We start from the raw sequence: 13,635 nt of genomic DNA on the forward strand, positions 1-13,635 counted from the left end.
GAGCATAACTGTGTACAGGTGTTGGACTCAGTCTATTCTAGCAGACCTGACCTTCAGGACTAGCCGTGGGCATCAGTAGACTGAGAGTTATACATGGATGGGAGCAGCTTCATCAACCCACAAGGAGAAAGATGTGCAGGATGTGTGGTGGTAACTTTGGATGCTGTCATTGAAGCCAAACCGTTGCCACAGGGCAATTCAGCCCAGAAGGCTGAGCTCGTTGCTTTAACTCGGGCTCTAGAACTCAGTGAAGGTAAGACTGTAAACATCTACACTGACTCTCGATATGCCTTTCTAACCCTCCAAGTGCATGGAGCATTATATAAGGAAAAGGGCCTGTTAAACTCTGGGGGAAAGGACATAAAATATCAACAAGAAATTTTACAATTATTAGAGGCAGTGTGGAACCTCAGAAGGTGACAGTCATGCACTGCAGGGTACACCAGCGAGCCTCCACCTCAGTGGCCTTAGGAAACTCTCAAGCTGATTCAGAAGCTCAAAAAGCAGCATCTACCCTTTACCAGGCATCTGTAGCAGCCCCCTTACTCCCTCAAACACCTGACCTGGTACCTACCTATTCTAAGGAAGAAAAAGACTTCTTCCATGCAGAAGGGGGGCAGGTAATAAAAGGAGGATGGGTCAGACTGCCAGATGGGAGGGTAGGTGTGCCACAGTTGCTGGGAGCCACAATCATACTGGCCATGCACGAAACCACTCATCTAGGTCAAGAGTCACTTGAAAAATTGTTAGGCCGGTACTTCTACATCTCACACTTGCCAGCCCTTGCCAAAGCAGTAGCACAACGGTGCATTACTTGCTGACAGCACAATGTGAGGCAAGGCCCCACTGTTCTGCCCGGCATATAAGCTTATGGAGTGGCTCCTTTTGAGGATCTTCAGGTGGATTTCACAGAAATGCCGAAATGTGGAGGTAACAAGTATTTGCTGGTTCTTGTGTGTACTTATTCTGGGTGGGTGGAGGCTTATCTAACATGAACTGAAAAGACCTATGAGGTAACCGTGTGCTTCTCTGAGATCTTACTCCTAGGTTTGGACTGTCCTTACGAATTGACTCAGATAACAGGCCGGAGTTTGTGGCTGACTTGGTACAGAAGAAGCAAAGGCATTAGGAATCACTTGGAAGCTAAATGTCACCTACTGACCTCAGAGTTCCGGAAAGGTGGAGCGAATGAATCGGACTATCAAAAATAGTTCAGGGAAACTATGACAGGAAACAGGATTAAAGTGGATACAGGCCCTTCCTATGGTATTGTTTAAAATTAGATGCACTCCTTCTAAGAAAACAGGATACTCCCCTTATGAAATACTGTATCATAGGCCTCCTCCTATACTGCGGGAGCTTCCAGGCATTCCCCGAGAGTTAGGTGAAATTGAATTACAGCGACAGCTACAGGCTTTAGGAAAAATTATACAATCTCAACTTGGGTAAATGGGAGGTGTCCCATCAGCTTATTCTACCCAGTTCACCCTTTCTCTCCAGGTGATCATGTGTGGATCAAGGACTGGAATGTAGCCCCTTTGCGGCCACGGTGGAAAGGACCTCAGACCGTCATCCTGAACACCCCCACGGCTGTAAAGGTAGAAGAAATCCCAGCCTGAATCCATCACAGCCGTGTGAAACCTGCAGCCGCTGAAACCTGGGAGGCAAAACTGAGCACAGACAACCCTTGCAAGGTGACTCTGAGGAGGACGACAAGCCCTGCTCCAGTCACACCCGGAAGCTGACTGGTCTACGCACAGCCGAAGCATGAGGAGAATCACTGTGGACCTCATTTTCCTTATAATTTGGACTTGTATAGTAAAAAATTCCACTGATTTTCCCCACATGGAGGACTGCTCTCAGTGTATACATCAGGTTACCGAGGTAGGGCAACAAGTTAAAACAGTCTTTCTGTTCTATAGTTACTATGAATGCCTAGGAACTTTAAAGGAACATGTTTATATAATGACACTCAGTGCAAGGTATGTAGCCCTGGAAACGACAAACCAGATGTGTGTTATGACCCCTCTGAGCCTCCCATGTCCACAGTTTTTGAAATAAGATTAAGGACAGAAGACTGGTGGGGACTCATAAATGAGACAAGTAAAGTATTAGCCAGAACAGAAGAAAAACGGGTGCCTAAACGCATAATCTTGAAATTTGATGCCTGTGCTGCCATTAATAGCAATAAGTTAGGAAGGGGATGTGGCTCTTTTAGTTGGGAAAAAGGCTATATGACTGAAAATAAGTACATTTGTCATGAATTAGGACTGTGTGGAAATGAATGTGGATACTGGTCTTGTGTCACTTAGGCCACTTGGATAAAAAATGAAAAGGATCCAGTCCACCTTCAGAAAGGAAAAAATGGCCCTTCCTGTACTAAGGAACAATGTAACCCCTTAGAGCTAGTAATAACCAATCCCCTTGATCCTTGCTGGAGAAAAGGGGAGCGTGTGACCTTAGGAATCGAAGGGGCCGGACTGGATCCTCAAGTAAATATCTTGATTCGAGGAGAAGTTTATAAACACTCTCCTGAGCCAGTGTTTCAAACTTTCTATGATGAACTAAATGTGCCAGTACCAGAAATTCCAGGAAAAACAAGAAATTTGTTTTTGCAATTAGCTGAGCGTGTAGCCCAGTCTCTCAATGTCACTTCATGTTACGTATGTGGAGGAACTGTAATGGGAGATCAACGTCCATGGGAAGCCCAAGAACTATTATCTATAGGCCCAGTTCCTGATGAATTCCCGGCTCAAAGGAATCACCCTGATAATTTCTGGGTCCTAAAAGCCTCAATTATTGGACAATATTGCATAGCTAGAGAAGGAAAAGAATTCACTCACCCTGTAGGATGACTTAGTTGTCTGGGACAGAAACTGTATAATGGTACCACAAAAACAGTCACTTGGTGGAGTTCAAATCACACAGAGAGGAATCCATTTAGTAAATTCCCAAAGTTGCAAACCGTGTGGACCCACCCGGAGTCCCACCAGTATTGGTCAGCCCCCACTGGATTATAGTGGATATGTGGGCATAGAGCTTACACAAAATTACCTGACTGGTGGGCAGGTAGTTGTGTTATTGGCACTATTAAACCATCTTTCTTCCTACTGCCCATAAAAACAGGCGAACTCCTGGGCTTCCCTGTCTATGCTTCCCGCAAAAAGAAAGCATAGCTATAGGAAATTGGAAAGACGATGAATGGCCCCCTGAGAGAATCATACAATATTATGAGCCTGCTACTTGGGTACAAGATGGCTTGTGGGGATACCGGACTCCCATTTACATGACCAACCAAATCATACGGTTACAAGCTGTCTCAGAAATAATCACTAATAAAACCAGCAGAGCCTTGACTATTCTGGCCCGGCAAGAAACTCAGATGAGAAATGCTATCTATCAAAATAGATTGGCTCTCGACTACTTGCTAGCAGCTGAAGAAGAGATCTGTGGGAAATTTAACCTTATTAATTGCTGTCTACACATAGATGATCAAGGGCAAGTCGTTGAAGACATAGTTAGAGATATGACAAAACTGGCACACGTGCCTGTGCAAGTGTGGCATGGATTTGATCCTGGGGCCGTGTTCGGAAAATGATTCCCAGCACTAGGAGGATTTAAAACTCTTATAATAGGAGTTATAATAGTAATAGGAACCTGCTTACTGCTCCCTTGTTTGCTACCTGTACTTCAAATGATAAAAAGCTTCATCACTACCTTAGTTCACCAAAATGCTTCAGCACAAGGGTACTATATGAATCACTATCCATCTGTCTTGCAAGAAGACATGGGTAGTGAGAATGAAAGTGAGAAATCCCACTATTGAGTGAGATTCTCAAAGCTGGGGAATAAGGGAGGAGACCACCCCTCATATTGTTTTATGCCCAATTTCTGCCTCCAAAGAAAGAAGAAGTAAAAACTAAAAGGCAGAAATGAAAACCACAAGCAGACAGCCCAGCACCACACCCTGGGCCTGGTAGTTAAAGATCGACCCCTGACCTAATTGGTTATGTTATCTATAGATTACGGACATTGTATAGAAAAGCACTGTGAAGATCCCTGTCCTGTTCTGTTCCATTCTAATTACCAGTGCATGCAGCCCCCAGTCACGTACCCCCTGCTTGCTCAATCGATCACGACCCTCTCATGCTGACCCCCTTAGAGTTGTGAGCCCTTTAAAGGGACAGGAATTGCTCACTCGGGGAGCTTGGTTGTTGGAGACATGAGTTATGCTGAAGCTCCCGGCTGAATAAAGCCCTTCCTTCTTTAACTTGGTGTCTGAGGGGTTTTGTCTGCAGCTTGTCCTGCTACAAAGGAACTGGCAAGAATTGTCAGGATAAGACTTATATATGGACGTTTAGAACTATAAACTTCCAAGGGAGTAAAATTGGCCATATCATCTGGCTAGTACATTAGTGCCACACAGACAATCTGTGTGAGGAATTTTCTCTAAGCCAAAAATTTGTTGTTGAATGTAGGTCCCCAAGCAAAAGTAAATGTATTAATTGCTTACATTAATGCAGTTTTGCAGCATCAGATTAGGAATACCCCATACATCCATCACCACAAGAGAGAGGTGGAGTTCCTGAGTTAGAGAAATTTATCTTGGTGTCAGTGTTTTTCTAGATGATGCAACTTTCATTACAATCTAACATTGATTAACCCCCTTTAATTGACATAATAATGTTTAGGGTTGTAAGTACAGCCTATGCAATCATACAGCCATCATGCTTTACTGGCCTAGACATATTTTGTCTACTTTGGAAAGGCTTCTTAACTTAAACATTCACGGATAAATATTAAAGGCCCTCTATTGAAATGGTATACTAATCAAAATTGAATGCTGAATTTGAATATTAAGAGTTTATGAACTTGTGCATTTTTCTGAGAATGTGATCCATAAATTGCATCAGATTTTCAGAGAGTATATGTTTCAAAAATAAAAAAAAGCTAATTGAAGTAATTTTATAAAACTCTGCTCTTAATCCACTCATTATGTGTTAACACATTGTAACATTCATGGGGGCAGTCTAATAGTGGTACAGTGAGAAGAGACCACATCTATTATTAATAGTGATAAAGCAGACAGAGATATAATCTTCTTTTTTGACTGTGATAATATGTACATAATGATTACTATTTTAACTATTTTTAAGTGTACAATTTGTTGGCATTAAGTACATTCACATTGTTCTACAACCATCACCACCATCCATCTCCAAAATTTTTCATTATCCTAAGAGATTATGCTCTGTTAAAAAACACTTTATAGTATTTGCAAGTTTAACACATGAACATTATTTTGGTTAAGACTATGAATTCTTAGCTAATTTTAGTGTCCATGTTCTCCAAATAATTATATCTCCAAGCATCATCTATTCTTACGTATGAATTATTTCTGAGATTGTGTTACAAAATACAAAATTACCCAATATGAACTTCTACCATTTTAAGTTTTTGTTCTTGTGTTGTTTTGTTTTGCTTTTGTTTTGTTTTTGTCTTTTGAGACAGAATCTCGTTCTGTCGCCCAGGCTTGAGTGCAGTGGTGCAATCTCAGCTCACTGCAACCTCCGCCTCCCAGGTTCAAGCAATTCTCCTGCCTCAGCCTCCCCACTAGCTGGGATTACAGGTGCCCGCCACCACACCCAGCACATTTTTGTACTTTTAGTAGAGATGCGATTTCACCATATTAGCCAGGCTCATCTTGAACTCCTGACCTCAGGTGATCCACCCACCTTGGCCTCTCAAAGTGCTGGGATTACAGGCATAAGCCACTGTGCCTGGCCTCACTTTAAAAGTGTTAACCTGAGCTCTGTTTAAAAAAAATCTAATGCTAAAAAATGAATATTCTTTTTCTTTTTTTCCTTTTATTTATTTATTTATTTTTTGTCTTTTTAAGAGACAGGGTCTTGCTCTGTCACGCAGGCTGGAGTGCAGTGGCACGATCATAGCTCACTGCAGTCCCTAATTTCTGGTTGCAAGCAATCCTTCTACCTCAGCCTCCCAAAGTACTGGGATTACAGGCGTGAGCAACCACGCCCAGGTCCTAAAAACTGGTATTTTTCTAATAATGTTCCTAAGTCAGAACTATGACAATGGTTTTAAAGGAAGTGAATCCTTTGATTAAAGACAAAGTGAGAGTATATTAATTTGAAAAGCCTAAGATATTAACATAAATCTTCAGTTAATATTATGAAAAAAGGTTTATCCTCCTAAATTTTTATTTTTTAGTTTTATATTGTTTTAATGTCCAATCTAACTGAATTGCAGAATTAATCCCTATTAAAAATTCATTAATGAAAATAATTATAGAAAATGTAAAATATGGATACAAATGGAAAGATGGAAAAAAAACTACAAAAGCCTATCCATACCATCTAAAAAAGTACTTACTTTTAGGTGACATTGTTACAATTTTAAAATATGACATTCTGTATTTAAAAAAATTGTATCAACATTCCTGGTTACCTCTTATTGTAAACCAAAAATTAAAATTCTTATTCACATATTTATGTTAAATTAGTTTGAAGTGCCCCATGGATATAACTATGTGAATTACTCTTTCTGATTTATTTAACAAATATTTATTGAACACATAAAATGTTTTTTGCTGTAATTATTACAGAAAACATTTCTACTCTCTCTTTTGTTTATTAGCACAAAAATATAGATATACAGTGAAGAAGTCAAGCATTAGTTCACAATTTATAATAATAAATTGAAAGAAACTCTAAGGAATTTAAGACAGCACATTTTTTTTAAAATATGATTTAGAATGATTTTAATGGTTTACATATAGACACTTTCCATAATTAAGGTTGGTTAGACATTAGATTTGAAAATTTGCTCTTCCAGAGCCTCTTCCAGAGTTGCTTTTAAGATCTAATGAAGCTAACATAAGGGAACTACTGTAATGTTTCAGCATTCATTTTTACAGATAGGCTTTCTGCAGTCAGTTTGGCTTTCTAACTGGATTTTTATGTAAAGGTAAATTGATCAGGACCGTAGGAAACAAAGTTCCTAATTCTACAAATAACCTCTGTAAATAATGCATCCAGGTAAATTCAACTACAAGTTGTGTGTGTATGGAAGAGACATACATCGATTTTTTCTTCTATATTTGGATACTCAGAGGGTAATATTCATGTATTAAAAATATTAATATAAATGATGATGAGTTAAAAAATCTGATCTATAACATCCATTCAACTCAGTTTCTGCAGAACAGTTTCTAGTAAAATTAATAGCTAATTTCAAATTAAAATGTCACATTACCTTTCACGAAGGACAGAATGATCAAGAACAGTTTATAAACATATTCACAAATGTTTGACTCTCTTAAGGCAAATAAAAACCTTTTAACAAAAGCAGCATTTCTTTTAGGGGTATTAAAAAGTCTTAGGTATATCACATTCAAAGCAACCTGCACCCTCACTGCCATATGCCGCCTCACTGCCCATTATTGTTGAATTACTGAACCAAGAACAGTTTAGAAGCTGTGTTGTAGGCAAAACAAATATCCCAAGTTCTAGTTTTTAAATTGGGTCCAAAGATAGCCACACATAGCAGTTTAATCAAAAACGCTTAGCAGATTCAGCTACCAGTCTGTGAAATTGAATGTTAGCTGTTGCCAGTCATCACTTTTACTGAGGGCAAGAAAACAGAGGACAAAGTGTCATATGCCCTTGTATACTGAAGGGTAGAATTACCAGATCTTCCACTGTATTAGTTTCCTAGGGCTGCTGTAACAATTGCTACAAACTTGGTGTCTTAAAACAACAGAAATTTATTCTATTACACTTTTTAAGACCAGAAGTGCAGAATCAAGGTGTCAGCAAAGCTGTGCTCTCTCTAAAACCTATGGGGAGAATATTTTCCTTGTCTCTTCTGGGTTCTGGTAGCTCCAGGCATTCTTTAGCTTGTAGCTGCCTAACTCCAGTCTCTGCCTTTGTCTTCACATGACCTTCTCATCTTTTTTTCTCTCCGTCTTCTCTTTGTCTTCTCTTCCATCTCCTACAAAGATACTTCTCATCAGATTTGGAACCCACCCAAATACTCCAGGGTGATCGCATGCCAAGATCCTTAACTTCATTAAATCTGCAAAATGGGGTCACATTCACAGGTTCCAGGGGTTAGGACATGGGCATATATTTTGGGGGAAACAGCAAAAATCAACCCAATTCAACTACTATCACTACTTAGGCTCTTATACTGTGTTATTTATGAATTTAATGGTCATGGTATGTTTTCCTTTTTAATGGCTACCTGCCTGTGTTTTCTAATACAGTGGTGTACACTCAAGTGAATTATTTAAAAACAATAACTATCAGTTAATGTATATTTAATTTCATTATATGTGCCAGCCACTCTTTTTTAACTCATTTACTCCTCACAGAAACTCCACAAATTTGGTATTATTGTGCCAATTTTATAGATGAGAAAACAAAGACACAGAAATGCAATATTTCCAATTTAAACAGATAATAAGTGAAGGAGCTGGGGTTTCAATGAAGACAAGGTGACTTCAGAACCCTACTGATAAATTACCGTCTATATTTTGTAGCCTTTCTTGTGATTTAACCCAGATTATATACGAAAAATATGTTATTCCTCTTTAAGAAAATGTTTCACTCACATTTACAAAATCCTTAGAAAGTTTGAGACTACAATATCTTTATTAAATTTTACATCGAGAATTAGCTGCTACATTTCAACTAAAGATAATACTGAAATATATTAGGAAACAGAGTTAGAGAGTTCATTTCATCTTACAAAGAGAAAGAAAATTTTACAAAAACAAAGCTCTAAATTAATAGAATTTACAGAGTAAATTAGGAATTCTAAAGAAGAAAGCCAATCTCTTGCCTAATTTCCAAGCCAGTAATCTTTCTCCTTGCATTTACTAAATAAATAAATAAATAATTTACTTTTTATTGTTAGAGACAATGTGGCAGATTTTTCTTCCCAAAATGGCTGTACCAATATGTATCTTATTTCATACCCTCAAAAGTACAATGTGACATTAACATGTCCCATCAAGGGATGACATCTCTGTTACCTCCCCTAAGCCTGGGTGGACCTCATAGCTGTCTCAATCAATGTGGCAGAAGTGACACCGTGTAATTTTTGAGGATAAATTCCAAAAGCCAATATGGCTTCTACCTGCAGTGTCTGCGTGTGTTTCTGTTTCTCTCTTTCTTGAGATATTTGTACTTGGAATGCAGGTACCATGTTTTGATGAAGTCCTAGCTACATCTACAGTCTACATGTGGTGGTTTCAGTTGACAGGCCACATCAGCTCTCAAACATGTGAGTGGGCCTTTAGACAATTCCAGCTCCTATCTTTGAGTTTTCTCATTGAAGTTCCAGACAGGCAAGTGATCCCTGCTGTGTCCTAAGTTCCTTTGCTACAGAGTCATAAGAAGTAACAACAATCATTGTTTTTAGTCATTGTTTTTTAATTTAAGTTTTGGGTAATTTCTATTAAATAATTAATTAACATATGCATATATGTCACCATGCATTAGATAATTAACATAAGGGCATATTTCAGCATGACGTTTTTTCATATTAAATATTAGTTTGTCTTTTAATCATATCAGTTTACTTTTTTGACTAGTAAAGTTTTTATTAGGCATAGACTTTCATTCAAAAAATATTCATTTAGCATCTCCTATGAATCAGGTCTTGTGGTAGCCTCCTATAATATAGTGACAAAGGACCCACTTTTTTGGAATGTACATTCTAATTTGGTAGAAGTACAGTTTCTTTCTTTCTTTTTTAAATCTTACAACAGTACAAACATAAATCTAGAGACATGGGACAAGCTCTTTCAAAGTAGAGTGTTGTAGTTATGATTTGTGTCTTAGGTCAAGTTTTCCAGAAGCACAGCCTGAGAGAGTTATCCACATGCAAGTAATATATTGAAGAAATAGTCCCAGGAAAAACCACAAAGGGAGAGTAAGAAGCAGAAATGGAAGCAGCAGAAGCCCAGCAGTGATACAAGTTTCAGGCAAAGTCTCACCCTCAGCTTGATCGTGGTGGGTTGCTCCATGAATACATTGCATCTAAAATGTATCTTTGTGAGAAGCAACGGAGCTGGGGTTTTGCATTACTGTATCAGTCAATCCTCTTCACCAGCGCAACCTCACAGGCACTTCTTCTTCTCTCTAAATTTGAGCAACACAATTCCAACAATGCAAGGAAAGTTTTGGAGAGAGACTGACATACTAAAACCAGGAAAGAGACACGCAGAAATGGCACAAGTAATCTTAAGGGACCTGGTATGAGCCTGAATATGGTCCCCTTAGTTGAGTCTTAATAATTTTTGGGACAAAAAATAAAATAGTCAAAGCATCAGACTTGTAGGAAAAAAAATCAAGAAGCAAAGTGTAAATATTGAATGAGACTTCCAGAAAGCAAAGTATTTTGCCCCACCAGAACAGAAACATACTTTGTGACCATATAGATACATAGAGAAATAGATCTGTTCTTTTATTCTTTATTCAAAATTATTTAATTAGCAATAGTTATGCCTTAGATAAAGCCTTATTGGCTATGATACTGCCACTACACAAAGCTAAAGTTATTTAGTTATGTGATGTATCTTTAATTTCAAGTAGTGGTAAAGAATAATACAGATAGATGAATGGGCAAGGAAAAGAAGAAACTCATGTTTCTGTAAACTAGATGCAACCAACATTGTTTATTCTTTTTCTGGTTTGAACTATGTATATATAGTTCCACTGACTATCATTAGTTCAACCTTTGCTTTTTTTCATTGTTGTTTTTTTTTTTTTGAGACAGAGTCTTGCTGTATTGCCCAGGCTGGAGTGCAGTGGCATGATCTCGGCTCACTGCAACCTGCATCTCCTGGGTTCAAGCGATTCTCCTGCTTCGGTCTCCAGAGTACCTAGGATTACAGGCATGCACCACCAAGCCCAGCTAATTTTTTTGTATTTTTAGTAGGGATGGTTTTTCGCCTTGTTGGCCAGGCTGGTCTCGAACTCCTGATCTCAGGTGATCCACCTGCCTCAGCCTCCCAAAATGCTGGGATTACTGGAGTGGGCCACTGCCCCCCGCCAACTTTTGCTTTTTACCTTCCTACTGTTTTCCACCAAGAAGAAATTAATTGTCTCTACATCATCTATGTGCAAGCAGAACCAATGACTTTTGCTTTTTACCTTTTGAGTCTGCCCACTTGGGCAAAGGAGAAGGGCGTCTCCACATGTGCTTTATGCACTTACTTATTTTAATGGGGATAATATTTTTAAGTGCCAATGTAAGTTCAAATTGAGAGTGACTAATTATAGAATATTAAGAAGGAAGACACAGTTATCTTCATTTATTTCTAATTGTTCCTATAGAAAAATAGGAAGAACTAGGCTCAGTACTAATATTGGAAAATTCATTGTTGATGTTCTAACAAAGGGCTGTTCTTTGCTCTTTGCTAGGTTTAAATGAATGGAACACTCTCCTTACGGGACCTCGTTAAATAACAAATATTCTCATTTGACTATTGATTTGCATCCAATACGTTAAAAAGTTGGTATGAATATAATGCAGCCAATTTATCAAACAAAACACGATCCGTGGAGCTAAGTATGACTAAATGTGTATAGCTGCATTAGTTATCTATTGCTGCATAACAAAATATTGCATTATTTGTGGGTCTGGAATCCAGGCTTGGCTTGCCTGTGTCCTCTGCTTCAGCTTCTCTCACAAAGCTGAAATCAGTGCCGACAAAGCTGGGGGCCTCAGCTGAGGCTCAAGTGAGGAAGGGCCCATTTCCAGGCTTAAATGGCTTTGGTGGGATTCAGTAAGTATGTCTTATCCAACTGAGGATATCAGCTCCTTTCTGGCTGCCACCTGATGGTTCCTTCAATTCCTCATCACTTAAGTTTCTCTATATGGCGGCTTACTTCATCAAAGCCAGAAAAAGCCAATATGAAGTGTCTACTAGCGAGACAGAGGTTGCAATCTTTGGTAATATAATCACAAAAGTAACACCCCCATCATCTTTATCATACTCTATGAGTCAGGAACTGATATGGTTTGGCTGTGTCCCCACCCAAATCTCATCCTGAATTGTAGCTCCTATATTCCTCACATGTCATGGGAGGTACCTGATGGGAGGTAATTGAATTATGGGGGTGGGTTTTTCCCACGCCATTTCCATGATAGTGAATAAATCTCATGAAATCTGACAGTTTCATAAAAGGGCAGTTCCCCTGCACACGCTCTCTTGCCTGCTGTCATGTAAGATGTGCTTTTGCCCCTCCTTTGCCTTCCACCATGACTGTGAGGCCTCCTCAGCCATGTGAAACTGTGATTCCATTAAATCTCTTTATCTTTATAAATTACCCAGTCTCGGGTATGTCTTTATTAGCAGTGTGAGAAGAGACTAATACAGGAATAAATCCCAGATCTCATCCACACTCAAGGAAAAGCATGAATACATAAAAGCATTAACAATAGAAAGCAGGGATAATTGGGAGCCGCCTTGGAGTCTATCACAATAATTTTTGTGGTGGCATAGTGTGAAAATAAATAAATACCTTTGTTCAATGAATAGGCATTTTTTTTTGTTCTAGGAGTTTAAAATCTAGTAATGAAAAGATGACAGTAACCAGTAACTGCTTCAACATCTTAATGTGTGGACACATTCTCATTTCATTTATGAGATATGCATCATAGGTAAAATTTCTGAGTAACTGAGCATTAAAAGCACATTCCCTTTCTTTCCGAAAGTGACTGGTAAGCAAAGAAGGCTGATTGACCAGCAAATAGGAACACTGAACCTGAAACAGTATTATTGGGGAAAATAAAGGGACAGGGACAGCAATTACATGATTTTCTTTCTGCTCATCACATTCTAAGGCTTCCCATAATCAAAGAGTAGGACAAGATTTTAGATTCTGGAAGAGGGAGCCAGACCCTCTGGGCAGTGGGCTTATACAGCTTCATATTAGAGGGAACATAAGCACCTTCACCGCCTTGATCAGGAGCTGGAGTGCACACCTGCAAACATAGTTTGTAGCAACGTGATGTGCTGTACCAGTGACTTCAGCCTGATTCATCACCTCAGCATTTTGCTAATATGGATTCTTAGCACTTACTTCTATAGCTGATTTCCATGAAATAGGTCTTAATTTTCATGTTTTCTGTAAGAGGACAATTCCCACTTAGACAAGTCAATCCTTAACTCTAAGTCAACACCCCAGATTCCTAATGGTAGCCAGTATGTCTCCTATCTTATCAGCAACTCTTATCATTTCAACCCATTTGTTAACATCATTGTAGCAATGCTGTGGCATTCACACTGATATATGTAGGTCTGAGTTCAATTTAAAAATAGGTCATTTATTTAGTTTAGAAGGCTTTGTATGACTCATTTTTTTCTGCATAATTTTTATAGAATAATTTGAGAAATTTTTATGTTTTTTCTATGAAACTGTTACTTCATCACCTATATATTTACACTTTCTCTTTACAATCTATTCCTTTTATTAGATTCCATAAATTTTTTCTAGAAGAAATATTCTGGAAGATGGCCGAATAGGAACAGCTCCGGTCTACAGCTCCCAGCGTGACCGACGCAGAAGACGGGTGATTTCTGCATTTCCATCTGAGGTA

General features: G+C 38.7%; 1 long non-coding RNA gene across 2 annotated transcripts; it reads left to right on the plus strand.

The window, feature by feature from the left end:
* The first annotated feature begins 795 nt into the window (after positions 1-795).
* On the plus strand, positions 796-4,270 carry LOC105377442 (uncharacterized). Of its 2 annotated transcripts, none has more exons than XR_939223.3 (3): positions 796-930; positions 1,035-1,179; positions 1,501-4,270. It is a non-coding gene; the product is annotated as an uncharacterized LOC105377442 (long non-coding RNA). The 2 variants fall into 2 exon arrangements; XR_939224.3 differs by having other exon boundaries at positions 1,048-1,179; positions 1,501-3,905.
* Positions 4,271-13,635: the final 9,365 nt, after the last annotated feature.

The sequence above is a fragment of the Homo sapiens genome, chromosome 4 (assembly GCF_000001405.40).
Source record: "Homo sapiens chromosome 4, GRCh38.p14 Primary Assembly".
NCBI classification, from domain to species: Eukaryota; Metazoa; Chordata; class Mammalia; order Primates; family Hominidae; genus Homo; species Homo sapiens.